This window comes from Homo sapiens, chromosome 13 (assembly GCF_000001405.40).
Source record: "Homo sapiens chromosome 13, GRCh38.p14 Primary Assembly".
Lineage (NCBI taxonomy): Eukaryota > Metazoa > Chordata > Mammalia > Primates > Hominidae > Homo > Homo sapiens.
Window position 1 is genome coordinate 114,281,239 of NC_000013.11, and position 25,300 is coordinate 114,306,538.

At 47.8% G+C, this 25,300-nt stretch overlaps 1 protein-coding gene and 2 long non-coding RNA genes across 39 annotated transcripts in view, besides 13 other annotated features; 2 read left to right on the top strand and 1 right to left on the bottom strand.

Moving 5' to 3' along the window:
* The window catches only part of LOC105370384 (uncharacterized), a 30,962-nt gene extending 30,623 nt beyond the window's left edge, over positions 1-339 (bottom strand). Inside the window, exon 1 of one of the 2 annotated variants that reach the window (XR_007063886.1) lies at positions 288-339. This is a non-coding gene — a long non-coding RNA (uncharacterized LOC105370384). The remainder of the gene's footprint in view (positions 1-287) is intronic. The other variant, XR_007063889.1, reaches the window with a different exon arrangement.
* Positions 111-380: a silencer, noted in NCBI's record as "silent region_5559". NCBI's record gives its function as "represses an Ori minimal core promoter by ATAC-STARR-seq in GM12878 lymphoblastoid cells {active_cell/tissue: GM12878}" and the evidence as "EXISTENCE:reporter gene assay evidence [ECO:0000049][PMID:35858748]".
* Positions 344-1,031: an enhancer, noted in NCBI's record as "NANOG-H3K27ac-H3K4me1 hESC enhancer chr13:115047057-115047744 (GRCh37/hg19 assembly coordinates)". NCBI's record gives its function as "activates a minimal SCP1, AML or CMV promoter by ChIP-STARR-seq in naive H9 embryonic stem cells {active_cell/tissue: H9 hESC(naive)}" and the evidence as "EXISTENCE:reporter gene assay evidence [ECO:0000049][PMID:30033119]".
* Positions 363-24,579, top strand: UPF3A (UPF3A regulator of nonsense mediated mRNA decay). Of its 36 annotated transcripts, none has more exons than NM_023011.4 (10): positions 363-608; positions 783-889; positions 1,599-1,705; positions 5,064-5,162; positions 5,281-5,391; positions 10,251-10,306; positions 10,396-10,554; positions 17,602-17,762; positions 20,493-20,787; positions 23,551-24,579. In NM_023011.4, the coding sequence occupies exons 1-10, from the start codon at positions 402-404 to the stop codon at positions 23,677-23,679; spliced, it is 1,431 nt and encodes a 476-aa protein (NP_075387.1). In that variant the 5' UTR covers positions 363-401; the 3' UTR covers positions 23,680-24,579. The 36 variants fall into 36 exon arrangements, 21 of the variants coding, with proteins under 21 accessions (NP_075387.1, NP_542418.1, XP_011533146.1 ...); NM_001353645.1 differs by lacking the exon at positions 363-608 and adding an exon at positions 2,856-3,120 and having other exon boundaries at positions 673-889; NM_001353650.1 differs by lacking the exon at positions 363-608 and adding an exon at positions 2,856-3,120 and having other exon boundaries at positions 673-889; positions 10,396-10,542.
* Positions 611-790: a silencer, noted in NCBI's record as "silent region_5560". NCBI's record gives its function as "represses an Ori minimal core promoter by ATAC-STARR-seq in GM12878 lymphoblastoid cells {active_cell/tissue: GM12878}" and the evidence as "EXISTENCE:reporter gene assay evidence [ECO:0000049][PMID:35858748]".
* Positions 1,171-1,380: a silencer, noted in NCBI's record as "silent region_5561". NCBI's record gives its function as "represses an Ori minimal core promoter by ATAC-STARR-seq in GM12878 lymphoblastoid cells {active_cell/tissue: GM12878}" and the evidence as "EXISTENCE:reporter gene assay evidence [ECO:0000049][PMID:35858748]".
* Positions 2,998-3,194: a silencer, noted in NCBI's record as "fragment chr13:115049711-115049907 (GRCh37/hg19 assembly coordinates)". NCBI's record gives its function as "represses an EF-1alpha promoter that drives an FKBP-Casp9 reporter gene in an ReSE screen in K562 erythroleukemia cells {active_cell/tissue: K562}" and the evidence as "EXISTENCE:reporter gene assay evidence [ECO:0000049][PMID:32094911]".
* Positions 10,561-12,483, top strand: LOC124903222 (uncharacterized). The gene is made up of 2 exons (XR_007063884.1): positions 10,561-11,346; positions 11,433-12,483. It is a non-coding gene; the product is annotated as an uncharacterized LOC124903222 (long non-coding RNA).
* Positions 10,586-11,087: an enhancer, noted in NCBI's record as "H3K4me1 hESC enhancer chr13:115057299-115057800 (GRCh37/hg19 assembly coordinates)". NCBI's record gives its function as "activates a minimal SCP1, AML or CMV promoter by ChIP-STARR-seq in primed H9 embryonic stem cells {active_cell/tissue: H9 hESC(primed)}" and the evidence as "EXISTENCE:reporter gene assay evidence [ECO:0000049][PMID:30033119]".
* Positions 11,088-11,587: an enhancer, noted in NCBI's record as "H3K4me1 hESC enhancer chr13:115057801-115058300 (GRCh37/hg19 assembly coordinates)". NCBI's record gives its function as "activates a minimal SCP1, AML or CMV promoter by ChIP-STARR-seq in primed H9 embryonic stem cells {active_cell/tissue: H9 hESC(primed)}" and the evidence as "EXISTENCE:reporter gene assay evidence [ECO:0000049][PMID:30033119]".
* Positions 12,066-12,115: an enhancer, noted in NCBI's record as "active region_8063". NCBI's record gives its function as "activates an Ori minimal core promoter by ATAC-STARR-seq in GM12878 lymphoblastoid cells {active_cell/tissue: GM12878}" and the evidence as "EXISTENCE:reporter gene assay evidence [ECO:0000049][PMID:35858748]".
* Positions 12,126-12,175: an enhancer, noted in NCBI's record as "active region_8064". NCBI's record gives its function as "activates an Ori minimal core promoter by ATAC-STARR-seq in GM12878 lymphoblastoid cells {active_cell/tissue: GM12878}" and the evidence as "EXISTENCE:reporter gene assay evidence [ECO:0000049][PMID:35858748]".
* Positions 13,658-14,159: an enhancer, noted in NCBI's record as "H3K4me1 hESC enhancer chr13:115060371-115060872 (GRCh37/hg19 assembly coordinates)". NCBI's record gives its function as "activates a minimal SCP1, AML or CMV promoter by ChIP-STARR-seq in naive H9 embryonic stem cells {active_cell/tissue: H9 hESC(naive)}" and the evidence as "EXISTENCE:reporter gene assay evidence [ECO:0000049][PMID:30033119]".
* Positions 14,325-14,424: an enhancer, noted in NCBI's record as "active region_8065". NCBI's record gives its function as "activates an Ori minimal core promoter by ATAC-STARR-seq in GM12878 lymphoblastoid cells {active_cell/tissue: GM12878}" and the evidence as "EXISTENCE:reporter gene assay evidence [ECO:0000049][PMID:35858748]".
* Positions 14,835-14,894: a silencer, noted in NCBI's record as "silent region_5562". NCBI's record gives its function as "represses an Ori minimal core promoter by ATAC-STARR-seq in GM12878 lymphoblastoid cells {active_cell/tissue: GM12878}" and the evidence as "EXISTENCE:reporter gene assay evidence [ECO:0000049][PMID:35858748]".
* Positions 15,085-15,244: an enhancer, noted in NCBI's record as "active region_8066". NCBI's record gives its function as "activates an Ori minimal core promoter by ATAC-STARR-seq in GM12878 lymphoblastoid cells {active_cell/tissue: GM12878}" and the evidence as "EXISTENCE:reporter gene assay evidence [ECO:0000049][PMID:35858748]".

A 25,300-nucleotide genomic window follows, 5' to 3' on the forward strand; every position in this document is an offset into this window, starting at 1 on the left:
CGAGACTGTCTCCAAAAAAATTAAGAATTCAAATGTGAACCCGGCTTTCATGGCGCCCCGGCCACGGAGAGCCTGGGGGAGTGGGATAAAAACGGTGCTGGGATGGGAGGGCGGCTTGTCCGCGAACTCCTCCCACCACGCCCGGACCAAAGCCGCCGGCGCCCCGCTTCCGGGGCCGCCCTAAACCGCGGCCGCCGCTCCCTGAGGGGCCGCCTGACCCGGCGGAAAGCCAGGCTGTGTGGCCGGAGGTCACCACCCCGACCCCGACTAGTCCCGCAGCGCCTGACCCCTTCGTGGGCGGCCCCGACCGCCGCGGCTCGAGGAGGGGCGGGGCTGGGGCGGCCGAGCTCTCGCGAGGTTTCGTCGGGGGCTGGCGGCTGCGGCTCGGCGGAGAGTGCGGCATGCGCTCGGAAAAGGAGGGGGCCGGAGGCCTTCGGGCGGCCGTTGCCGCGCGGGGCCCGAGCGGGAGGGAGAAGCTGTCGGCCCTAGAAGTGCAGTTCCACCGCGACTCGCAGCAGCAGGAGGCTGAGACGCCGCCAACTTCGTCCTCCGGTTGCGGGGGCGGTGCGGGCAAACCTCGCGAGGAGAAGAGGACGGCCCTGAGCAAGGTGGGGACGGGGGCGGGGCGCGCAAACCTCGCGAGGAGAGGACGGCCCTGAGTGGAGGGAGGGGAGGGAGGGGAGGGAGGGGCGGGGGCCGGGCCTCCCAGCGCGGTACGCGGTGCCTTTTGAGCTCCTTGTCCACGCTCCGCCCCGGTGGGAACGGCCGCGCGCTCCCCGCAGGTGGTCATCCGCCGCCTGCCTCCGGGCCTCACCAAGGAGCAGCTGGAGGAGCAGCTGCGCCCGCTGCCAGCACACGACTACTTCGAGTTCTTCGCCGCCGACCTGAGGTGAGGCCCGCCCCGAGGGGAGGAAGAGAGGGCGGAACCCAGAGCTCGGCGGCGGTGGCCGTCTCGTTGCCTTACGTTCCTTACCCTGATTTCTCCTATATGGGAGTCGTGTGAGCTTTTTGAATAAATACATTTCAGTAAAACGTGTCCGTTCCGTCAAAGAAAAATACCACCAACAAAGAAACACAGATGTGGTTTACATGAAAAATGCGGATGATTTTCAGACGGCTAACGCTTAGGAAAGCGGGTGCCTTTGAAAGGACCAGCGTTGCCCGCCCGGCGCCTCCCGGGCTTCCCTGCTCGTCCGCGGACGGGGCGCTGCGGGGCCGGGGGGCGCCGGCTCTTCCTGTGGCCTCCACGCTGGTGCCGCAGCCAGTGCGGTTTTAAATACCGGAGAAGGTCCCCAAGTCAGGAGAGTCTCTCGGCGCCACGGGTTCCTCTGGGAGTGCGCCCTGGCCTTGCCTTAGGGTTTCAGCCTCGGAGGACCGGTTCTGGGCAGTGGAGAAGGGACCTGAGTTCTGCCTTGTAAAGTTAACGTTTTGCGTTTGTTTTTGCTAAAGAATATCCAAGTTGTTACAATTAACTGAGATGATTTGGCACAAAAGTTTTATCTAAAGTAGTTTGTTGTGCCCAGAAAAGGAAAAAGAGGCTAAATTAATGGACTATTGTATTTTTCACTGACCATTTTCACTGTTATCTCTTATTTCAGTCTTTATCCTCATCTCTACTCAAGAGCATACATTAATTTTAGGAATCCTGATGACATCCTTCTTTTTAGAGATCGTTTTGATGGATATATCTTCCTTGACAGCAAAGGTTGGATTATTGGTTTTTAAAAATCTATTATAATCTGTAGGTATACTAATGAAGTATTGCTAGAATATTCGTGCTTTTTAAATTATTATTATTTTTTGAGACAGGGTCTTGCTCTGTTGCCCAGGCTGGAGTGCAGCAGCCGCAATCACGGCTCACTGCAGCCTCACACTGCGGCTCAAGCAATCCTCCAGCCTCCTAGGTAGCAGGGACCACAGGCGTGTGCCACCATGATCGGCTGATTTAAAAAAAAAATTGTGTAGAGACGGGGGTCTCACTGTGTTGCCCAGGCTGGTCTTGAACTCCTGGCTTCAAGTGATCCTCCCACCTCAGCCTCCCAAAGTGCTGGGATTACAGGCGTGAGCCACAGCATCCGGTCTATTTGTGCATTTTAATTAAAAAGTTCTCAGACTAAAATAAGTTTATAAATTTTGATTATGTTACTGTAATTATGTGCAGATATTAAAAATTGAAATTATTTAATTTTATTATTTAATCCAAAAAAATTCCAGAAATTCTGTGTAATAGTGACAGCCTATTTATGTATTATCATCAGAGAATGAAGGTTTTCATGAGTGAGTTTGTTGCATGAGAGAACTTGATCTTTTTAGGTTCTAAAGCTAAACTATTTTACCTGATAGGAATTTTCCAAAATGTACACTGACTTCTATCTTCCTAAACAGCATCCTTCATGACTGTACCATTTATGATAATGTCACCAGGAAGTCACTGCTGTTAAACAGCTTTGCCTGCGGAGACAGCAGTCTTCAACTCTACTCTCAATAGTTCCCTTATCAGTACTTCTAGGGTTCTGCTTTCATCTTTTTCCTTCTCTTCTCCTGTCAGGCTGTCTGCTGTTGTGTTCCTGGCTGTCAAGTTTGTATACCTTTCACAGCAAGTTGTTTTCTGCCCTCCCCTCCCCAGCCACCCTCTTCCGACTCCACGTGTTTTGACACTGATGAGTGTTTTCTTTTTCTCCAATGAGGGGTAAGGACTAGAAAGATTGTTAAAAAAATAAGCATTAGCCAAGCTAGTTCCTGTGACTAGAAGCAAATGTGATGCTTGAACTGACCTTTGTGTTCATTGCTCATTTATTCAGTAACTTACTGAGTTTCCCTTTTTCACTTAAAAAATATTGGTGGGCCGGGCACAGTGGCTCACACCTGTAATCCCAGCACTTTAGGAGGCCAAGGCGGGTGGATCACGAGGTCAGGAGTTCGAGACCGGCCTGAGCAACAACGTGAAACCCTGTCTCTACTAAAAATACAAAAATTAGCCAGGCATGGTGGCAGGCGCCTGTAGTCCCAGCTACTCGGAAGACTGAGACAGGAGAATTGCTTGAACCTGGGAGGCGGAGGTTGCAGTGAGCCGAGATCATGCCACTGCATCCCAGCCGGGGCGACGGAGCAAAAAAATATGTATGTGTATGTACGTGTATGTATATGTGTGTGTGTGTGTAAAATATGTGTAACATGGCCAGGTGTGATGGCTCACTCCTGTAATCCCAGCACTTTGGGAGGCCGAGGAATGTAGATCAGTTGAGGTCAGGGGTTCGAGACCAGCCTGGCCAAGATGGTGAAACCCTGTCTCTACTAAAAAAAAAAAAAAATTAGCCAGGCATCATGAGGCATGCCTGTAATCTCAGATACTTGGGAGACTGAGGCATGAGACTCACTTGAACCCGGGAGGCAGAGGTTGCAGTGAGCCAAGATCGTGTTACTACACTGTAGCCTTGGTGACAGAGTGAGACTCTGTCTCAAAAAAAAAAAAAGTCACAAAATTTATACCATACTGTTTTCCACAGTGACTGCGCCATTTTAGGTTCCCACCTGTAGTGAGCAAGGGGCCAGTCGTCCTTGTTTCCGGTTATCTTTGTTGTCGTTGTTTTGTTTTTTAGAGATGGGGTCTCACTATGTTGCCCAGGCTGGTGTCAAACTCCTGAGCTCAAGCGATTCCCCCCACATTGGCCTCCCAAAGTGCTGGGCTACAGGCGTGAGCCGCTGCCCTGCCGTTGTTTTTATGGTCTCTGGCCTAAGCCTGTGCTTTTGATGTCATATGCAACCCATTGCCAAATCCATTGCCATGGAGCTTTTCCCCTGTGTTTTTTTCCAAGTGTTTTATGGTTTCAGGTCTTATATTTAGGTTTGATCCATATCGAGTTACTTTTTGTATATGGTGTTAGGTAAGGGTCCAGCTTCATTCTTCTGGCTGTGGATATCCAGTTTTCCCAGCACCAGTTGTTGAAAAGACTTTCTTTTCCCCATTGAATGGTCTGGGCACCCTTTTCAAAAATCAGTTGACCAAGTATTACAAAGGTTTATTTCTGTGCTCTCTATTTTATTCCCTTGGTGGATGTGTCTGTCTACATGGCAGTACCACACTGATTACTTTCAGCTTTGGAATCAGGGAGTATGTCATCTGCCATTGAATGAGTATCCACTGTGTGCTAGGCCTTGTGGGTGGAGCGGTGACTTGGACATCGTCCCTGCTGGTCCAGTGCCCTGCCGTCCCCCTGAGTCTTGACTTTATTCTGGATAGTGGAGGTTGGCACAAAAATATCTCCCAGTTAAAGGAATTATAATTCAGTCACCTGACTATTACTGACAAGTCAAAAAAAAATGACTCAGTGGGTTTAGTACCAAGGTAGCAGTGTTCCATTTGATGATTCAGCATATAGCAGGTTCTCTTAGTGAACATTTCTCTTTGTGTATTTGTTTTTCCCCCACATAGCAACGAAGTTAGTTTCTAATGACTTCCATTCTCTACTTTTATCAGAAGCAGATTTCACCTGGAATATTCTATAAACCCTTTGAAACCCTCTATTTTAGCCATGGTGTCTTCTAAGCAAAGTAATTTTCTTGAACTTAAATAACAAATTGATAGTTGAATTAACCTTTTAAAATAAAATGTAAAGTGTAGCTAAGAAATCATTATTTAAAGGTATTCCAACGATAAATTATTTGGGATGGGGCTGGGGAGGTCAGGTATATTGAGGTGTAAGTTACATATGGTAAAAGTCACCCTTTTAAAGTGAACAATTTGATGAATTTTGAACAACTTCAGTTATGCAACCACCACAACATGATGGATTGTTTTAGTAAATGTTCTTCTTACCAGGAGTTCATCCTTGTTTAAGTCTGGAGTTTGCCGTGTTAAGGTTGCAGGTGCTTGAAAGTGTAATAAAATTGTAGGTTTTTTAATCTTTTTTTTAATCTCTTACTGGAAGGATGAATTATAGTTTAAATAGTAATAATGCATTGTCGTTGTTACACTTACTCTTTAAGTAAGTTAGGTCATTATTTTCCGAAATGAATGTAGTAGAATTTCAGAATGGCTTCTGGAACATGTTTCCTGTTAAAAGGCCTAGAATATCCTGCAGTGGTAGAGTTTGCTCCATTCCAGAAGATAGCCAAAAAGAAGCTGAGAAAAAAAGATGCCAAGACTGGAAGCATCGAAGATGGTGAGCCCTTTCCAAGTGCTACGTTATGAAGCTGCCAAATTAAGAACACTGAGCAAATGTAATTCTCCCGTAGTTGGGAAAGATTATATTTATTTTCTTCCTACTTTTTAATGTCTAGATCCAGAATATAAGAAGTTTTTAGAAACCTACTGTGTGGAGGAAGAGAAGACCAGTGCCAACCCTGAGACTCTGCTGGGGGAGATGGAGGCGAAGACAAGAGAGCTCATTGGTCTGTTTTGCTCATTTCTTCTCTTTTCTTTATTGAGAGATTTACTCGTAGAGGATATACGTTTTTTCTCTTTTTCTTGACTGTGATAACAAGTTGAAACTTGTTACAGGCTTGACAGAAATGTAGAGTGATTTCCAGTTTTGACAAAAGAATGGCAAGATGGCAGCATGGGAAAATATTTCTGAGCGTTGGTTGATGGAGAGCACGTGATTTTTTTAGTTAAGATCATTTTAAGTTATGATGCTTCCGAATGAGCAGTGCAGAAGACACATGAATGGTCTGTTCCTGAGCGTCAGGGAAGGCATGTTGTGTCACATAGTTGAAGTCAGTGGTCACAGACGGATGCCTCAAGAGCCCATAGGAATGAGATGTTTTGCTTGCGGTGAGGTCATCTTGCTGCTTCAACACAAATGCCAGGCTCCCCGAGCCAGGCCAACTTGTGGATAAGCCCAGCCAGAGCACAGAATCGAGTTTAAATCCAGCCTTCCACCCCATGCCCACAAGTGGTGTACTTTAGAAATAGTTACTTCCCAGTAGCACCAACATACTTCCCAGTAGCACCAACATGAAAATCAGGCAAACTGTTGTTGTTTAGTCCCAGACACACCTGGTAGTGTTTCTCTTCTCTGTGGATCTCCTTTCCTCAAAGCCCTGGTTCTTCACCTCTCATCTCTCCCGCCCAGGCTGTGCCCTGCCCACCCATCAAGATGGATGTACTTTGGGAGGCCAGGGTGGGCGGATCACAAGGTCAGGACTTCGAGATCAGCCTGGCCGACATGGTGAAACCCCATCTCTACTAAAGATACAAAAAATTAGCAGGGCATGGTGGTGCGTGCCTATAGTTCCAGCTACTGAGGAGGCTGAGGCAGGAGAATCGCTTGAACCCAGAAGGCGGAGGTTGCAGTGAGCTGAGATCGCACCACTGCACTCCAGCCTGGTGACAGAGCGAGACTCCATCTCAAAAAACCAATAAAATTGATGTGACATGACAGCCACATTGTTTATCATTTATTTTCCTGTCTGTCTCCCACCACATAAACTCCCTTCTTGTTTTGTCTCCCCAGTGGAACTATATTTTCATCTTCATGGTTGTAGAAAAGTTCAGGAATTTAGTAGATGTTGATTGAATTAATAAAAAAAGATTAATATTACTGAAATAGTCCGTTCACTTTCTTCATTTATCTAGTAATAAAGCTTTTTTTCCCCCCACTCTGTTGCCCAGGCTGGAGTGCGGTGGCACAATCTCGGCTCACTGCAACCTCTGCCTTCCCAGTTCAGGCCATTCTTCTGCCTCAGCCTCCTGAGTAGCTGGGATTACAGGCACCCGCCATCATGCCCAGCTAATTTTTATATTTTTGTGGAGATGGGTTTCACCATGTTGGCCAGGCTGGTCTTGAACTCCTGATCTCAGATGATCCGCCTGCCTCAGCCTCCCAAAGTACTGGGATTACAGGCGTGAGCCACCACACCTAGCCGTAATAAGGCTTTTGATCACTAAAGTAAACAAAATATGCTGAGGCTGCATGCTGCCTGGGCACTGACTCTGGGCCTCAGCATGGGGCCAAGTGGTAAGCAGGTTGCACAAGGCCTCTGCCTACCATCGGGATGACAGGTTGGAAGCAGGAGCAGGAATAGTCCAACCAGGGCACCTCAGTGTGTAATCACTGCCACTGATGTGACAAAGTGGAATATGGGAGGGAAAGAGGTTGGGAGACTCCCTCCAAGATAGTGGTGGAGCTGGAGCTGAGACTGGCTGCGGGAGGGAAAGAGGTCAGGAGATGAGCTGAGCCTGGCCGTGCTGAGCAGTGGAGGAAGGAAGCGCCAGGGGCAGGGCCGGCTGCTGTCGCTTTTCACTGCAGGCGCAGAGTGCAGGCTTGTGGGGTTGGCACACATGGGTGAGGGCAGCGTGGTTGGAGGTTCAGGGCACTGCAAGACATTTAGATTCATTCCAGGGCAACTGGAAGCCACTGGGGGAGTAGCATGGTCTGATTATTTGTCCCCGTCACTTTGGTGGTGTCACATGGGATAGACTGTGGATGCCAAGAGATGAGCGTGTGTTTTGGAGGTGGGCTGGACAGGACCGACAGACGGATAGGGTGTGGGAGGTAAGGGGACAGGAAGAATTAAGACTCCAGTGCTTGGCTTGAACAGATGGGTGGATTGTGGCACCATTATACACAAGGGAACATGAGGGTAGGACAGTATTGGGGGCAAAGTCGAGATTTCACTTAAGAACTTGATAAATTGAAGAAGAGCTAGAAGCAGCAAATTAGACGTTATTACAGGCCTCATCTCCCTGCCCCTCCCATTTCCATCTCACTTTGTTTTAAATGTCCCCTTGCAAAGGATCGGTCACTTTAGGGCTGTTTTGAGACATACCTTTTTGGGGCAGACACGTGGCTCCTGCCGGGGTGGGGAGAGGGGGGCATGTCCTGGCACCTCCCCGAGAGTCTGCTGCACAGCCAATGCTTCACAAAAGTTGGCTGAATGAATGAATGAATGTGGCTTAGAACCCACCATCCCTGATGGGAGCGATTAATTCATTCCAGGACTTGGCTGTAGAGTCTTCCTTGTTTCTGTGATTGCTGTTTCTATGTATGAAAAATTGAAACTTGGCCGGGTGCGGTGGCTCACACCTGTAATCCCAGCATTTTAGGAGGCTGAGGCGGGCAGATCATGAGGTCAAGAGATTGAGACCTTTCTGGCCAACATGGTGAAACCCCGTTTTTACTAAAAATACAAAAATTAGCTGGGCGTGGTAGCATGCGCCTGTAGTCCCAGCTACTTGGGAGGCTGAGGCAGGAGAATCGCTTGAACTCGGCAGGCGGAGGTTACAGTGAGCCAAGACCACGCCACTGCACTCCAGCCTGGCGACAAAGTAAGACTCCATCTCAAAAAAAAAAAAAAAAAAAATTTTAGGCAATTCATGGCAGATTACCTTTTTCTTTTCTAAGCTTTTGGCCTCCAGTGGATTCTTCTGCACAGGTCTGAGAAGCAAGTGTTAAATGGAAATACTAATAAGCTGTTTCTGGCAAGGACTCTGGAGTTGTTGAGTTAGTCTGGTGCATCGGCCTTTAGCATCGGCCTTTAGAGCAGACAGGCCTGGGTTCAGCTCTGAGACTTCTGTTTACTTGTGTTCTGTTGCATGGTTGTGCGTATTCTGTCTGATAAATAACATACTTTTATGATGTGTAGAACACTTTCTTATTCAGGGTCTAACGTACTTTGCCCGTGATCCCTGTGGGTGATAGGGCAGACATTTTATAGGAAGAGGAAGGTGGGCAAGCGGAGTCTGGGGTCAGCCTCCCCACACATCCAGGTGGTCTCGCCCGGCTCCTGGCTGACAAGTTCAGGCTTTCCACAGAGCAGAGCAGAACCCTGGCTGATTTGAGATAATTTGCCCATTACAAAGAGCTGACCATTTACCTGAGCCAGTGTGCTGTACTCACCCTGAGCCAGAGTTCATGGTCAGCCCAGGGACCCCTGGGGGAGTGTTCTCTGTGGCAACTGTGTCTGCCACGAAATGTGGCATTTGTACCTGCATCAGCTCTTCCCTACAACCACTGTGCCTGGGGCAGGGCTCCTGGGACAATCGGCTCTTCCCTACAACCACAGACTGTCCCTGGGGAAGGGCTTCTGGGACAGGTGCCATTTCATCTATGATGTCAGGGTGTCAGGGGTTCTCAGTTCCAAGTGATGGATCCCTGGCCAGGGCTTCTCCTATGATTCCTGATTCATTCCTGGTCCTCAGAATTCCAGAGATGATGTGTCAGTTTTCAGGTACATCCAGGGATTCTTCCCAGCCCTGTTTAGTCTGAGATCTTACAGACCCACAGAGTAGACCCCGTCTTCCCCCTTCCCATTTGTGTCCTTGTGTTGGTGGGATGTGGGGCCTGTCCATGTCAGCGCAAGTCCCTCTGAGGTGGGGCCTGTGGGGCCTCTAGCTTGCCTGGGCACCCACATCCAGGTCAGATCTGAGAGGTCGGGCATGAAAGCGAAGGACCAAGATAGAGTCTGTAGAAATGTTCATTCCCTAGTAGTTGGTGCCTTTTCTGCAATCAGCAGCGCCATATGGAGTCATTTTCTTTTTCTTTTCTTTTTTTTCTTTTTTTTTTTTTTTTGAGGCAGAGTTTCGCTGTTGTTGCCCAGGCTGGAGTGCAGTGGCGCAATCTCGGCTCACTGCAACCTCCTCCTCCCGTGTTCAAGTAGTTTTCCTGCCTCAGCCTCCCGAGTAGCTGGGATTATAGGCGCGTGCCATCACGCCCGGCTAATTTTGTATTTTTTCAGTAGAGACGGGGTTTCCTTAGGTTGGTCAGGCTGGTCTCGAATTCCCAATCTAAGGTGATCTGCCCGCCTTGGCCTCCCAAAGTGCTGAGATTACATGTGTGAGCCACCACGCCCGGCCCATGTGGAGTCATTTTCTAAACTACAATCCAGAGTTGTATGTCTTATCATTGGGATTTTATGGAGTATATATTGTAAGACATTACAAGAATCCATGTTATTTTAAAACTGTTGCTTGGAGAACGGAAAACGAAAAAGTTCTCAGAATATGCGATGTATCAAAATAAATATATGTTATTTAATGATTTAAGGCACCTACAAAAATATCATCTTGGAATATTTTAAGCCTCCCTTAAGAATCAGGAATTAGATGTCTACTATGTATGAAATTGTTGATACTTTCAAATTACTTGACCTGACAGTAATGGAATAAAAACTCCCCTGGAGACAGTGTGTAAATTTAAAAAGTAATGATATGGTTCCCGTATTTATTTTAAAGATTACATTCAAAACAAGTATTTAAAATACATCTTTCTTTAGGAGTTAAATACAATATTACAATTTTTGTGTTTTAGCTAGAAGAACCACACCTCTTTTGGAATATATTAAAAATAGAAAATTAGAAAAGCAGGTAGGTCTGGCCTTTACCTGATGAACACCCTCCCTGCTTCTGCCATTCTCATCCAGGCAGTTTATACACACGCTCTTCCATGTCTTTAGAGAATTCGAGAAGAGAAGCGAGAAGAACGGAGGAGGAGAGAGTTAGAAAAGAAACGTTTGCGGGAAGAGGAAAAAAGAAGAAGAAGAGAAGAAGAAAGATGCAAAAAAAAAGAGACAGATAAACAGAAGAAAATTGCAGAGAAAGAAGTAAGGATTAAGGTAATTCTGAGGAAACATTTCCTTTTTCCAAAAATAGCTCTGCTATAGTAATTACACTTTTTACATATCTTAGTTCTTTAGAATTTTGAAAACATTCTGAATTAATCTAATATTGTGTTGTTATTTTTTTCCATCTTTTCCATCTTTCTTTCCATCCTACAGCAGTGGTTATCACAGTGCGTCCTGAGCCCTGGGAGTCCTCAGGCTGCTGTTGGGTGCCTGTCCTCCTGGGTGTGCAGTGGGGAGCACACCCCACAGGAGCCCCACGCTGGCACACGTTGGGCTGCTGCTGACGCTCTTTTTTTTTTTTTTTTTTTTAAACTTTCCAACTTTCATTTTCGGCTCAAGGCGTACATGTGCAGGTGTGTTACATGTTCATTGTCAGCTCAACGCGTACACGTGCAGGTGTGTTACGTGTTCATTTTCGACTCAAGGCGTACACGTGCAGATGTGTCACATGTTCATTTTCAGCTCAAGGCGTACACGTGCAGGTGTGTTACGTGTTCATTTTCGACTCAAGGCGTACACGTGCAGATGTGTCACATGTTCATTTTCGGCTCAAGGCGTACACGTGCAGGTGTGTTACGTGTTCATTTTCGGCTCAAGGCTTACACGTGCAGGTGTGCCACATGTTCATTTTCGGTTCAAGGCGTACACGTGCAGGTGTGTTACGTGTTCATTTTCGGCTCAAGGCGTACACGTGCAGGTGTGCCACATGTTTATTTTCGGTTCAAGGCGTACACGTGCAGGTGTGTTACGTGTTCATTTTCGGCTCAAGGCGTACACGTGCAGGTGTGTTACGTGTTCATTTTCGGTTCAAGGCGTACACGTGCAGGTGTGTTACGTGTTCATTTTCGGCTCAAGGCGTACACGTGCAGGTGTGTCACATGGGTAAATCAAGTGTCACTGGGGTTTGGTGTGCAGATAATTTTGTTGCCCAGGTAATCAGCACAGTACCTGATGTTTTTCAGTCTTCACCCTCCTCCCATTCTCCACCCTCTACATTTTCCTTTAAAAAAAAGTTTTCCTCCCAGCACTTTGGGAGGCTGAGGCGGGCAGATCACGAGGTCAGGAGTTCGAGATCACCCTGACTAACATGGTGAAACCCTGTCTCTACTAAAAATACAAAAATTAGCCAGGTGTGGTGGCGGACGCCTTAATCCCAGCTACTCAGGAGGCTGAGGCAGGAGAATCGCTTGAACCCAGGGAGCAGAGGTTGCAGTGAGCCGAGATCGCGCCATTGCACTCCAGCCTGGGCGACAGAGCAAGACTCCCTCTCAAAAAAAAAAAAAAAAAAAAAAAATTTCCTGGCCGGGTGGGGTGGCTGACACCTATAATCTCAGCACTTTGGGAGACCGAGGCAGGCGGATTACTTGAGTTCAGGAGTTTGAGACCAGCTTGGCCAATATGGGGAAACCCCATCTCTACTAAAAACACAAAAATGAGCCGGACGTGGTGGCGTGTGCCTGGAATCCCAGCTACTCAGGAGGCTGAGGCAGGAGAATCACTTGAACCCAGGAGGCGGAGGTTGCAGCGAGCCGGGATCGCGCCACTGCACTCCAGCCTGGGCAACAGAGCAAGACTCTGTCTTAAAAAAAAAAAAGTTTCCCTGATTAAAAAATACACATTTGAAAACCACTGGTTTTGCCTTTCTGTGTGAAGGCTGACTCAGAACCGGGTTTTATCATTTCTTTGGCAGTAGCACTAATGAGTTTCTGTATTTCTTGCTGAGTTTTTTCTGTGACTGATACATTCATTTATGAGGGTGGTTTAATACATAGAGGGAATTTTTCTCTGTGTGAAATGTGTTGGCCAGAATTGGGACCAGCCATTATCTCCTCAGTACTAAACCTAGATTTGAACCTAAGGTATCACTCATTACTTATTATTTATTGAATACCTTATATTCAATAATATTGTACAATATGAGGAAAAAAATGAAATGTCAGGACTTGGGGAAAGAAGATAGCTTAGGAAAGGGTGGGGAAGAGATCATTGAACCATAGATTTGTTTCTGATATGGTCAGCAGTCAAAAACAGAAAAGTTGGCTGGGTATGATGGCTCATTCCTATAATCTCAGGACTTTGGGAGACCAGGGCAGGTGGATTGCTCTAGCCCAGGAGGTCAAGACCAGCCTGGGCAACAGAGAGAGACCCTGTTTCTGTTTTTTGTAGAGATGGGGTTCCCACTATATTGCCCAGGCTGGTCTCGTACTCTTGGACTCAAGTGATCTTCCTGCCTCACCCTCCCAAAGTTTGGGGATTACAGGCGTGAGCCACCATGCCTGGCCTGGTTTAGCTTTTAATAAGTATCTGTGCTCAGTATGGGGGTCTTTCACTTCTAAATCATGTGGAAAATTGAAATTCTTTTAATGCCTGAAAAATGGAATCTGTGGAGAAATGCAAAAGAAGGTGTATCAACAGCTTAAAGAAAGACAGATGGCTCATGGCTATTTTGCTATTTTTTTGTTTGGTTTTGGTGGGGGGGGGGTTTGAGACAGGGTCTCAATGTGTCACCCAGGCTGGAGTGTAGTGGCACAGTCACAGCTCACTGCAGCCTCTACCTCCCAGGCTCAAGTGATCCTCCCGCCTCAGCCTCCCATTACAGGGGTGCAACATCATACCTGAATAGCTAATTTAAAAAAAAATTTGTAGAAGTGGGGGTCTCACTATGTTGTCCAGGCTGGTCTTGAACTCCTGGGCTGAAGTGATCCTCCCACTGCTGGGGTTAGAGGCATGAGCCACCGTGCGTAGCACTCATGGCTATTCTTAATAAAGAGAAATATGGTTTGGGAGGCCGAGGCGGGCGTATCACGAGGTCAGGAGATCGAGACCATCCTGGCTAACACAGTGAAACCCCATGTCTACTAAAAATACAAAAAAATAGCTGGGCGTGGTGGCACACGCCTGTAGTCCCAGCTACTCAGGAGGCTGAGGCAGGAGAATCGCTTGAACCTGGGAGGCAGAGGTTGCAGTGAGCTGAGATCACGCCACTGCACTCCAGCCTGGGCGACAGAGCGAGACTCCGTCTCAAAAAGGCTGGACCGCGGTGGCTCACACCTGTAATCCTGGCACTTTGGGAGGCCGAGGTGGGCGGATCATTAGGTCAGGAGATCGAGACCATCCTGGCTAACACGGTGAAACCCTATCTCTACTAAAAATACAAAAAATTAGCTGGGCGTGGTGGCGGGAGCCTGTAGTCCCAGCTACTTGGAAGGCTGAGGCAGGAGAATGGCATGAACCCGGGAGGCGGAGCTTGCAGTGAGCCAAGATTGCGCCACTGCACTCCAGCCTGGGCGACAGAGCAAGACTCCGTCTCAAAAAAAAAAAAAAAAAGAAAAGAAATACGGCACACAGAACAGCTCAGCTGTTTAATGTTCCTCTGAGGATGCTAAGCAGTGAGCTTATGTGTGGCCACATGGGTGAACACACACAGGCGAGGGCTGGGAGGGAGCACAGCTGCCCATGCGCTCCGCTTGGCCTCCGGAAGCCTTGCAGGGCGTGGCAGAGCTGGCCTGCTCCCCAGCTCGTCTCCAGCAGCTCTGGCCTGCTCCCCAGCTCGTCTCCAGCGGCTCTGGCGTGCTCCCCAGCTCGTCTCCAGCGGCTCTGGCGTGCTCCCCAGCTCGTCTCCAGCGGCTCTGGCCTGCTGGTTTCTCATGAATGCACCAGCGGATTCCACCTCAGGACTCCGCACGTTTCCCTCCACAGGGACTTCCCCAGATGTGCCCGTGGCTCCTTCTTGGCATCTGGTCTTAGTTCCCGTCTTGGCTCTGCAGAGAGCCCTCCTGGGCCCTCCTCTTCCTGCGTCTCTGATGCTTTACTCTCCCTTCATGTCTGTTCGTAGCTTTTGATGCTACCTGAGGTTATCTTATTCCTTTGTTTCCTTTTTCATATTTTTGCCACTGTTCACAGCATTCCCCCTTGACCACCGTTGCCTCAGGTGGTGCATCAGGCGCAAGTTCCTTCGAGGCAGGGGCACCTCTTGTCTCATTCACAGCCATTCCCTAGTGCCTAGCACAGGGTCTTAGGCCCTGGTTCCTGCACACAGCTCCTCAGACCTCGGGAATCTGCAGTAATATGAGTGTCTTATATGCCAATGAGAGGACTAGGGGCTGGGGGCCCCAGGCAGCTTCAGGATGGGGACTAGTTGGCCAGAAAGCCAAGGCAGGACTAGAGGGTTGGGACTTTCAGTCCCACCCTAGCCTCCGAGAGGGCAGAGGGCCTAGAGAGAGGTCACCGGTGGCCAGTGACTTAATCAGTCACACCTACATAATGAAACCTTAATAATGCCTAAAGACAGGGCTTCCAGGGGCCAGGCACAGTGGCTCACGCCTGTAATCCCAGCTCTTTGGGGGGCCAAGGCAGGTGGATCCCGAGGTCAGGAGTTTGAGACCAGCCTGGCTAATATGGTGAAACCCCGTCTCTACTAAAAATACAAAAATTAGCCAGGCATGGTGGCGCATGCCTGTAGTCCCAGTTACTCAGGAGGCTGAGGCAGAAGAATCGCTTGAACCCAGGAGGCGAAGGTACAGTGAGCCGAGATCGCGTCACTGCAGTCTAGCTTGGGTGACAGAGCAAGACTCCATCTCAAAAAAAATAAAAAAAATAGACGGGCCTTCCGGGTTGGTGAGCACATCAAGGTGCTGGGAGGGTTACTGCATGGAAGCTCCAAGTACCACTACACCATACCCCATACCCACCTTGTGCATTTTTTCCGTTTGGCTGTTCTGGGTTGTATCCTTTATGATTAGCCAATAATCGAGAAAACAGTGCCTTTCTGAGTTCTGTGAGCCATTTCAGCAACTTACCAAATCTGAGGAGAGGCCATCGGGAACCCCTGAATTTATTGCTGACTGGTCAGAAGTACCGGTGACACACTGGGACTTGGAACTGTCGTCTGAAAGGGGGGCAGTCTTGTGGGACTGAGCCCTTGACCCGTGGGTTCTGGTGCTAACTCCAGGTCGATGATCTCAGAGTTGAGTTGAATGTGGAGCACGCAGCTGGTGTCGGAGGGGTGGTATTGAAAAAGACGTGCAGTGTCAGAAATGTAAGAACAGTTCCTAGGCACACAGAATATTTGTTGAATGGGTGGATGGAGATTTGCACTTCCTATGGTTCACATTTATTACAGACATGTTACTGTTGCAATTTTTATAAAAGATGGGCAGTTACCAGAAAGGAAATGTTTAAGTTCCCAGATTCCACATAGGCAGAATAAGAGGATGTTCACAGCTGACATGGGGCCCACGCTTGATGAGAAGCGGCTTCCAATGCTCCACCTTGCATGATGCGTTGTGTTCCCAAGTGAACACGTGTGATTGAATGCATCTGTGTATGGTCTTGCTATGCTGCAATTATGAGTGAGAACAGAATTCTCAGATGTACACCTTCCATTTCTGTTCTACAAATGATCTGTCTGTGGTGCTTCCGTTTTTTTTTTTTTTCTCCCTTTTCTCAAGTTAGCTGAGGTGCTTTAGTTTCAAAAACTATACAGAGAGCAGGGAGAAAGGCCAGGGGCATACAGGGCAGATGAAATATGTCGTGGCGACTTGTTCATTAATTCTGTTTCAGGAAAGAGAATAATCAGTGTTTTGAAAACTATAAACTATTCTAAAAATCATCAGTAGGAAGCAGCCTTTTAAAAATTTTTTTTTCCTTATTACAAAACTAATACTTGTCTATGTCAGGAAAACTAGACCCTATAGATGAAAGGAAATAAAGTCATTTCAGTTCTGCCATCTAGAAATAATCACTATTGGCCGGGCATGGTGGCTCATGCCTGTAATCCCAGCACTTTGGGAGGCCAACGCTGGGGGATCACAGGTCAGGAGTTCAAGACCAGCCTGGCCAACATGATGAAATCCCATCTCTACTAAAAATACAAAAATTAGCCAGGCACGGTGGCAGGAGCCTGTAATCCCAGCTACTTGAGAGGCTGAGGCAGGAGAATTGCTTGAACCAGGGTGGCAGAGGTTGCAGTTAGCTGAGATCAAGCCACTGCACCCCAGCCTGGGTGACAGAGTGAGACGTCGTCTCAAAAAAAACAACAAACAAAAACTACAAAAGTTAGCCAGGTGTGGTGGCACGCCCCTGTAGTCCTGGCTATTCAGGAGGCTGAGGCAGTAGAGTCGCTTGAACCCAGGAGACGGAGGTTGCAGTGAGCCGAGACTGCACCACTGCACTCCAACCTGGACGACAGAGCGAGACTCCATCTCAAAAAAGGAAATAATCACTATTAATACAGTGCTGCAGAGCCCTTTAGGTGGTGGTGTGTGTGTGAACATAAATAGAAGTGGGGGCTGGGCACGGTGGCTCACGCCCATAATCCCAGCACTTTGGGAGGCCAGGGTGGGTGGATTGCCTGAGGTCAGGGGTTTGAGATCAGCCTGGCCGACATACTGAAACCCCGTCTCTACTAAAAATACAAAAAATTAGCTGAGCGTGGTGGTGGGCGCCTGTAATCCCAGCTACTTGGGAGGCTGAGACAGGAGAATCACTTGAACCCGGGAGGAGGAGGTTGCAGTGAGCCAAGATCGTGCCATTGCACTCCAGCCTGGGCAACAAGAGTGAAACTCCATCTCAAAAAAAAAAAAAAAAATTAGACGGGTATGGTGGCGCATGCCTGTCGTCCCAGCTACTCAGGAGGTGGAGGCAGGAGAATCACTTGAACCTTGGAGGCGGAGGCTGCAGTGAGCCGGGAGTGCGCCACGGCACTTCAGCCTGGGCGACAGAGCGAGACTCTGTCTCAAAAGAGAAAAGTGTAAGTGAGATTGTGGTGCATGTTCTGTTTTTTAGCCCTTTATTCATTACGTGAACATCTTTGCATCACATTAACCTACCTTACTTTTCATGACTAAAAAATATTTCATTCACTGAATGTTCCACCACGTATTAAACCAAAAACCTCATTTTTGGACCTTTAGCTTTAATTCTTTGCTGTGCAAACATTTGGCTTCAATATTGGGGTATATTTGTAATTATTTATTTAACAGCTTCTTTTAAAATATGCTCTCAAGGTGATACTTTACTAACATTGTAATTTCTCAGCTTCTTAAGAAACCAGAAAAGGGAGAGGAACCAACCACAGAGAAACCAAAAGAAAGAGGAGAGGAGATTGATACTGGAGGTGGCAAGCAGGAATCCTGTGCCCCCGGTGCAGTCGTAAAAGCCAGGCCCATGGAAGGCTCGCTGGAGGAGCCCCAGGAGACGTGAGCGTGCTTTCATTGTTATGACCACGTCAGCTCCCAGTCATGGTGACGTAGGCTTTGTCAGTATGAGTATGCCTATTTCACACTGTTCTTGGAATCCAAGACTTTCCAGGGTGTGCGAGTACACGTTAGCCTTCATTTCCCATCAGCATGGCAGGAACGTAGTGAACTCGTCTTGTCTGCAGTCTCAAGTCTGTCTTCAGATCGGGAGTTTCTTCCTGTTGTTTGCTTTGCTTTTGCCTCCATGTCCTCCTTTTACTCCTGAGCCGCCTCCTGGATTCCTGCTGTTGCATGTCAGGTCTTCAGGATCTGTCTTCCCAGTCTTTCTTTTTGTTTTTTGTTTTTTATTTTTCTCTGTGTTTGTGATATCTTGCCCTTTGCTCTTTTATCCCCCTTGCAATTTATCTACAGAATTGCATATTTGGGAACCCCCTCTTTTAGGTCTGGCAGATCTTTTGTGATAGAGAAACAGAATTTTAAGTGCTGTGATCCTTTGGTTGAAGCTGTCCCTGGCTCCTCTGGCTGTGGATCTTGACCAGCAGCTTTGGCTGTGCACTGTGGGTCCTCCCTTTTTCTTTTCCTTTGCTGCATATGACAGTGCAGCTCTATGGAGGGAGCTCATCTGCGAAAGGGACAGACACAGCATTATCTGCCCGGTGGGCCAGAGAGACCAGCCAGATGCCAGTCAGGAGGGATCCTGTCCCTCTTGCTCCTGGCATCCACCATCCTCAGGGCCCCAGGCACCTGGGCTTACCTTCCCCTCCGGGACTCCTGCCCACTCACTGCCTCTCGCCACCCACAGTCTCCTGGTGCCCAGGGCCACTTGGCCCACAGGGGATGATGGACGTGGATTTTAGGTGGGAAGACTAATGCGATTAGGCTGCCGGCTTCCCAGAGCCATAGTCGTAGGTGTGATTTCTCACTGCCTTTCGTTCAGAGTTGATGAAGTATTTTTTCTACTTCTTGGGAGTTTTGGTTTATTGCTTTGTTTATAAAATTTATATATGATTATCAAATCCATGATTGTGAAGCACTGTGATGATGTTACCGGTGTTGTTACTGTGACAGTTGATGACACAGCAGGACCTACTGCCACGTGTCTGCTGTGAATTCATACTTGGTTACAGATCCTTATGGTCCCCAACAGCCCTGGCAAATGAGCGAAGCAGCCATTTATTTACTATTCATTTAATATTCTGATAAATGCATAAAGATAATTAATCTGCCATTATTAAATGTCAGTTAATTTTACTCTGCACATCATGATGGATGTGCACCTGGGCTCCCAGGACAGCCACTGGACCACTTTAGTCTCAGTCATTTTATCTGTAGAAAAGAAGGTTTATTTTATTTTGTTTTATTATTTTATTTTATTTTAATTTTATTTTTGAGACAAAGTCTCGCCCTGTCGCCCAGGCTGGAGTGCAGTGGCACGATCTCGGCTCACTGCAACCTCCGCCTCCCAGGTTTAAGCAATTCTGCTTCAGCCTCCCAAGTAGCTGGGATTACAGGCACCCGCCACCATGCCTGGCTAATTTTTGTTTTTTTTTTGTTTTTTTGAAACGGAGTTTTCCTCTTGCCCAGGTTGGAGTGCAATGGTGCGATCTCAGCTCACCACAACCTCTGCCTCCTGGGTTCGTGCAATTCTCCTGCCTCAGCCTCCTGAGTAGCTGGAATTACAGGCATGCCCCTCCATGCCTGGCTAATTTTGTATTTTAAGTAGAGACAGGGTTTCTCCATGTTGGTCAGGCTGGTCTCGAACTCCTGATTTTAGGAGATCTGCCTGCCTTGGTCTCCCAAAGTGCTGGGATTACAGGTGTGAGCCGCTGTGCCTGGCCTAATTTTTGTATTTGTAGTAGAGACAGGATTTCATCATGTTGGCCAGGCTGCTCTCAATCTCCTGACCTCAAATGATCTGCCTGCCCCTGGCGTCCCAGAGTGCTGGGATTACAGGCACATGCCACCACACCTGGCTAATTTTTGTATTTTCAGTAGAGAGGGGGCTTCACCATGTTGACCAGGCTGGTCTCCAACTCCTGGCCTCAGGTGATCCCACCCACCTTGGCGTCCCAAAGTGCTGGGATTTACAGGCGTGAGACACCATGCCTGGTCAAAAGAAGGTATTTACTTTGGAGGGTTATTGAGAATTAGAAAATATGTATAAAAAGTACCTTAGCATGGCCAGGCACGGTGGCTCACACCTGTAATCCCAGCACTTTGGGAGGCCAAGATGGGCATATCATAAGGTCAGGAGATCGAGACCATCCTAACTAACACAGTGAAACCCCGTCTCTACTAAAAATACACAAAAAATTAGCCGGGCGTGGTCGCGGGCACCTGTAGTCCCAGCTACTCGGGAGGCTGAGGCAGGAGGATGGTGTGAACCCAGGAGGCGGAGCTTTCAGTGAGCTGAGATCCCGCCATTTTACTCCAGCCTGGGCAACAGAGCGAGACTCCATCTCAGAAAAAAAAAAAAAAAGTACCTTAGTATAAGGCATATTGCCTATCTGTCACTCAACTGAAATGACAGATACTATTACTATGATTTATTCCTCTTTGTAGTGGTTTTTATCAACGCCTGCTGTGTGCCCATCGCAGTGCAGCCTCAGCAGTGCAGCGCTGAGCACTTCGCATGGGTCCCTGTTGTCTGGGAACCTGTGGTCTAGAAAGGAGGGTGGGCAGCCAACCGGCGGTTTACTGCAGTTGCTGATCATTTGTGTTGAATCATAGGTCACACAGCGGCAGTGATAAAGAGCACAGGGATGTGGAGAGATCTCAAGAACAAGAATCTGAAGCACAAAGATACCATGTGGATGACGGCAGGAGGCACAGAGCTCACCACGAGCCTGAACGGCTTTCCAGAAGGAGTGAGGATGAGCAGAGATGGGGGAAAGGACCTGGCCAAGACAGAGGGAAGAAGGGGAGCCAGGACAGCGGGGCTCCGGGGGAGGCCATGGAGAGACTGGGAAGAGCGCAGAGGTGTGACGACAGTCCAGCACCCAGAAAAGAGCGACTGGCAAACAAGGTTTTTATTAAACCCAAAAAGAAAAATGTGTCTGGCTGTCTTAAGGTCCAGGCTGCATGCTGACCATGTCACCCCCACTTGGCCTTGTGTCTTGGGGAACGCAGTGCTTTGAGCATTTTCAAGAGCAGTTTTTCCTGAAAGTCAGATCCCAGAGTGAGACTAGTCATCATCTTTTCTCAGATAATCAAATTATTTTTCACCAGGAAAAAGAAAGATTTTATTTAGTATAAAACTAGCACGTTTATATGATTCACTTGAGAATAAGATTATTAAATTTACCCTTGAGACAGGAAGGAAAGTTTTAATGATATTTCATGGAGGTTTCTTCCACATTATTAACAACATTCTGATTATTGGTGAATATTCCCATGGCTCACAAACACCTGTAAGTTAGATCTGCACGGACGGTGAGCACAGGACTGTGGTTACCCCCTTAGCCAAGCAAACAACTTTTTTTTTTCAGGAGCTAATTTTTGTTCAGGTTGCATTTTCCCAGCGCAGCACTACAGATGGCATCACCTTTCTGACAGCACCAGGCCCCACCCTGGCCTCCTAGCAAACTGAGGGCTGCCTAGGGTTCCAGTTCCCACTCACCTCCCTCCCCATGTCTAACCCCTGGCAGCCACTGTCTGTTCTCTGCCTCTGTGATTTTGTCATTTCAAGAATGCTTGATAAATGGAAACACACAGTATGTGAGCTTTGAGAGTGGCTTTCTTCACTCAGTCTAATTCCTTTCAGATCCTTCCAGGTTGTTGTGTGTATGAACGATGTTCACTTTGAAACTGTTTCAGTGTAGCTGGGCATGGTGGCTCACACCTATAATCCCAGCACTTTGGGAGGCTGAGGCGGGTGGATCACCTGAGGTCAGGAGTTCGAGACCAGCCTGGCCAACATGGCGAAACCCTGTCTCTACTAAAAATACAAAAAATAGCTGGGCGTGGTGGCGCGCCTGTAATCCCAGCTACTCAGGAGGCTGAGGCAGGAGAATTGCTTGAACCTGGGAGGCGGAGGTTGCAGTGAGCCAAGATGATGCCATTGCACTCCAGCCTAGGCAAGAAAAGCAAAATTACCTCTAAAAAAAAAAAGTTTCAGTGAAGTCAAGGCTGAAAGCCAGAGGAGAGCCTTCTTGTCTTCACCCTTGAATGAACACCTCTAGAATACTCCAGTTCTCTGGGGTTGCCTGGACCTCGGGGTGCACAAAGTACAGCCATGCGTCTTTTTGATAGGGCGTTGCTCATAGGAGTCCTCAGTCTTCAGTTGGCTTATTTTAGCAGTGGTGAATGGCCTGGTGTTTCCCCCGACCTGAGGTGGGGGAGCATTTGCTCCTGTGTTTAGCCTCACAGTGCTGTGGTGGGAATGAGGCGCTGTGTGCAGGAGCTACTTTCCCGGGAGCCTGGCATTTGTCATGTACTTCTAAGGTCAGGCTCCATGCTCCATCTGTGTATACAGGTATTGCCCTGGTAAGAAGCAGAATTGTCGGCCCGGTGCGGTGGCTCATGCCTATAATGCCAGCACTTTGGGAGGCCAAGGCGGGTGGAACACCTGAGGTCAGGAGTTCGAGACCAGCCTGGCCAACATAGTGAAACCCCATCTCTACGGAAAATACAAAAATTAAGCGGGCATGGTGACACATGCCTGTAATCCCAGCTACTCAGGAGGCTGAGGCAGAAGCATCACTTGAACCCAGGAGGCAGAGGTTGCAGCGAGCCCAGATTGCGCCATTGCACTCCAGCCTAGGCAACAAGAGTGTAACTTTGTCTCAGAAAAAAAAGAAAAACAAACAGAGCTATGCGTGCTGGCTCCAGGCAGCCTGTCCAGGGGCCTGCTGAGCCTGTTCCCACCCCTCCCATTGGTCAGGTTCATACCAAGGAAAAGAAAATTAAGTTAAACCCCCTGGTGGTAAGCAGATGTGGGCTTCCACACACAGTCCAGGAGGAGGTAGAGGTGAGCTGGTGAATCCTGGAGAAGGAGCGCATGAGATGTACCCACATGGTCGTCCTTGCAGCCCACACTTGGGCTCCTGGTGGCTGTTGGAGGCTAAGGCTGCAGCTCTGCAGGGAGAATAGGCAGGGAGCGGGAGGCGCGTGGAGCAGGAGGCTCACGGAAGCTGGAAGCCGCCTTCCTCCTCTGCCACCCCTTCAGTGCTGGGGCAGGGCTGGTGGCCCCATCAGGAGGAATTGTGCTGCTGTCGCTGCTGACACTAGCCTTCAGGGCCACTCTATGCTTCCCTGGCTGTTGCCTTCTTCAGGCCCTCAACAGCTGCCCTTCATGGACTTCATGGGTCATTTTTATTGCTTCACCTCCAGGAGTTTAATAAAATGATGGGGTGATGTCTTCTAAAAAGGGACCAGTTCAGTCTCCCTGCTGGTACATGCTAGGCAGGGATAAGCCCCATGGAAATTGCTTACTACTCACGTTAATAAGTTTTAGTTGGCAGATCTGAAACCATCTGTGAGGGTCCACATCTCATTTTGTTCACTTCCCAACTCAGAGGGGGACGTCATGATTGTACTGTTCCCACAGATTACATGTTCTTGTTTGAGCAATAACATTTGCCCAGATAACCAGTGTTTACATGGCTTTTTTAATTGCCTTAGAATGCCTGGTTTCTGAGATAGTGCTGTGAAAAAAGGGCTGATTTTTAGCTGCCTAGTTGATTTTCTTTGGACAATTCATATCATCAAGTTCTAGAAATATAGGGAGATATTGACCCTTCTGTGTTGCTACCTCTTGGAAGAGTAACATGCCCTCTTATCCTGGCAGGACCGGCCAGCCTTGCAGCTGTATGATCCAGGAGCTCGCTTCCGAGCGCGAGAGTGTGGCGGAAACAGGAGGATCTGCAAGGCAGAAGGTTCGGGGACTGGTCCTGAGAAGAGGGAAGAGGCAGAGTGAGTCACTGCACGCACCTGGCCTCCATGGACGAGCAAGGGCATCCCAGAAACGTGTAAATGACCCCGAGTGTGACTGGGAAGGAGAACTTATTCCTTACCAGGAAACTGGAAGCTAAAAATACAGAGGGTGACGTAGAAACACGCAGAAACCATTCTAAAGAAAGTAGTGATCTTGTATTAAATTGAGCAGAATTCTCACAGATTTTACCATTCCTGTTATAAACTAGTATTTGTTGTTTAGCCAAAACAGAAAATGATTTCCACTGGACAGTAGAAAAATATGTGTAAAATAGGGAAGAAAGTTAGTATTGGATCAGTGTGAGTCCTGAAGCACTTTCAGTGCTGTGAGAACGACATCCACTTTGGGTTTCATTCGTTTGTAAGCAGAGGAGCTGTCAGTCACTCGTGCTTCTCGGTGGCCTCTGAGCCATGGTGTCGAGTGAAGAGTAGTTCTTGTTTGTTACAACCTTTGTGAGTCAGCCATGCCCGCAAAGCGTGCTGTGTTTTAGTCCTGGTAGGAATATTTATCAGAGTTCACACTATATAAAACCCAACAGCTTCAACTATTGCCCTTTCAACAGTTTTGCCACTGACCGGATAGAAACGGTTTCAGTCTCTGGATGGATGTGTTTGTGGTTTGTAACCATTACGGTTTAAACCATGGTTTAAGAATTTGCCCAAATAACAGAAATTTTGTTCGGGAAGGGATAAACTAGATATAGCATACAGAGCCTGTTTTTGAGTTTTAGATACTTTATTTGTAAATAACTTAAAATAGCTTTCTGAAACCGTGCATTCTGTAGTTTCTTCCTTTCAGTGAAATTGCTAAATGTCAATGTATTTTTGGCACTGCGATTTTAACCATTTATTAAATAAAAATTTTGTTAAAGAAGTACTGAAATATTCTTTGAATCTGTGTCAGGGAAATTCTGATTTGTTAGTTCAAATGCCTGACAGCATAATCATACAGATCTTCTCTTGTCTTGGTTTGGATGACACTGAGCAGCTGTCAGAAACGTGCAAAAAATTCCAAAAGGTAAGGCCTTAAAATATTTTACTGGTAAATATTACACAGACTTTCAAAAGGACAGAGAATGACTTGGAAAATCTTTTTTTTTTTTCTTGGAGATGGAGTCTCGCTCTGTCACCCACGCTGGAGTGCAGTGGCGTGATCTCAGCTCACCGAAACTCACGCCTCCTGGGTTCAAGCAATTCTCCTACCTCAGCTTCCAGAGTAGCTGGGATTGCAGGTGTGCGCCACCACACCTGGCTAATTTTTCTTAAACAAACACTGTCTACATCTGCCCTATCAGAGCAAGAGAGAAAGACAAAACACTAGGTTATGACAAGCAAACTCACCCACCCACTCTTTAAAAAAAAAAAAAATTCAGGGCCAGGCATGGTGGTTCACGCCTGTAATACCAGCACTTTGGGAGGTCGAGGAGGGCAGATCACGAGGTCAGGAGATCGAGACTATCCTGGCTAACACGGTGAAACCCCGTCTCTACTAAAAATAAAAAAGTAAAATAAAATTAGCCGGGTGCGGTGGCGGGCGCCTGTAGTCCCAGCTACTCAGGAGGCTGAGGCAGGAGAATGAACCTGGGAGGCGGAGCTTACAGTGA

Bases quoted from the DNA above. Each gene is read 5' to 3' on its own strand.
- UPF3A (NM_023011.4), top strand. From the start codon at position 402: ATGCGCTCGGAAAAGGAGGGGGCCGGAGGCCTTCGGGCGGCCGTTGCC. The intron at 5,163-5,280 runs GTGAGCCCTTTC...TTTAATGTCTAG, and splicing joins GACTGGAAGCATCGAAGATG to ATCCAGAATATAAGAAGTTT. The intron at 20,788-23,550 runs GTTTTTATTAAA...TTATCCTGGCAG, and splicing joins AAGAGCGACTGGCAAACAAG to GACCGGCCAGCCTTGCAGCT.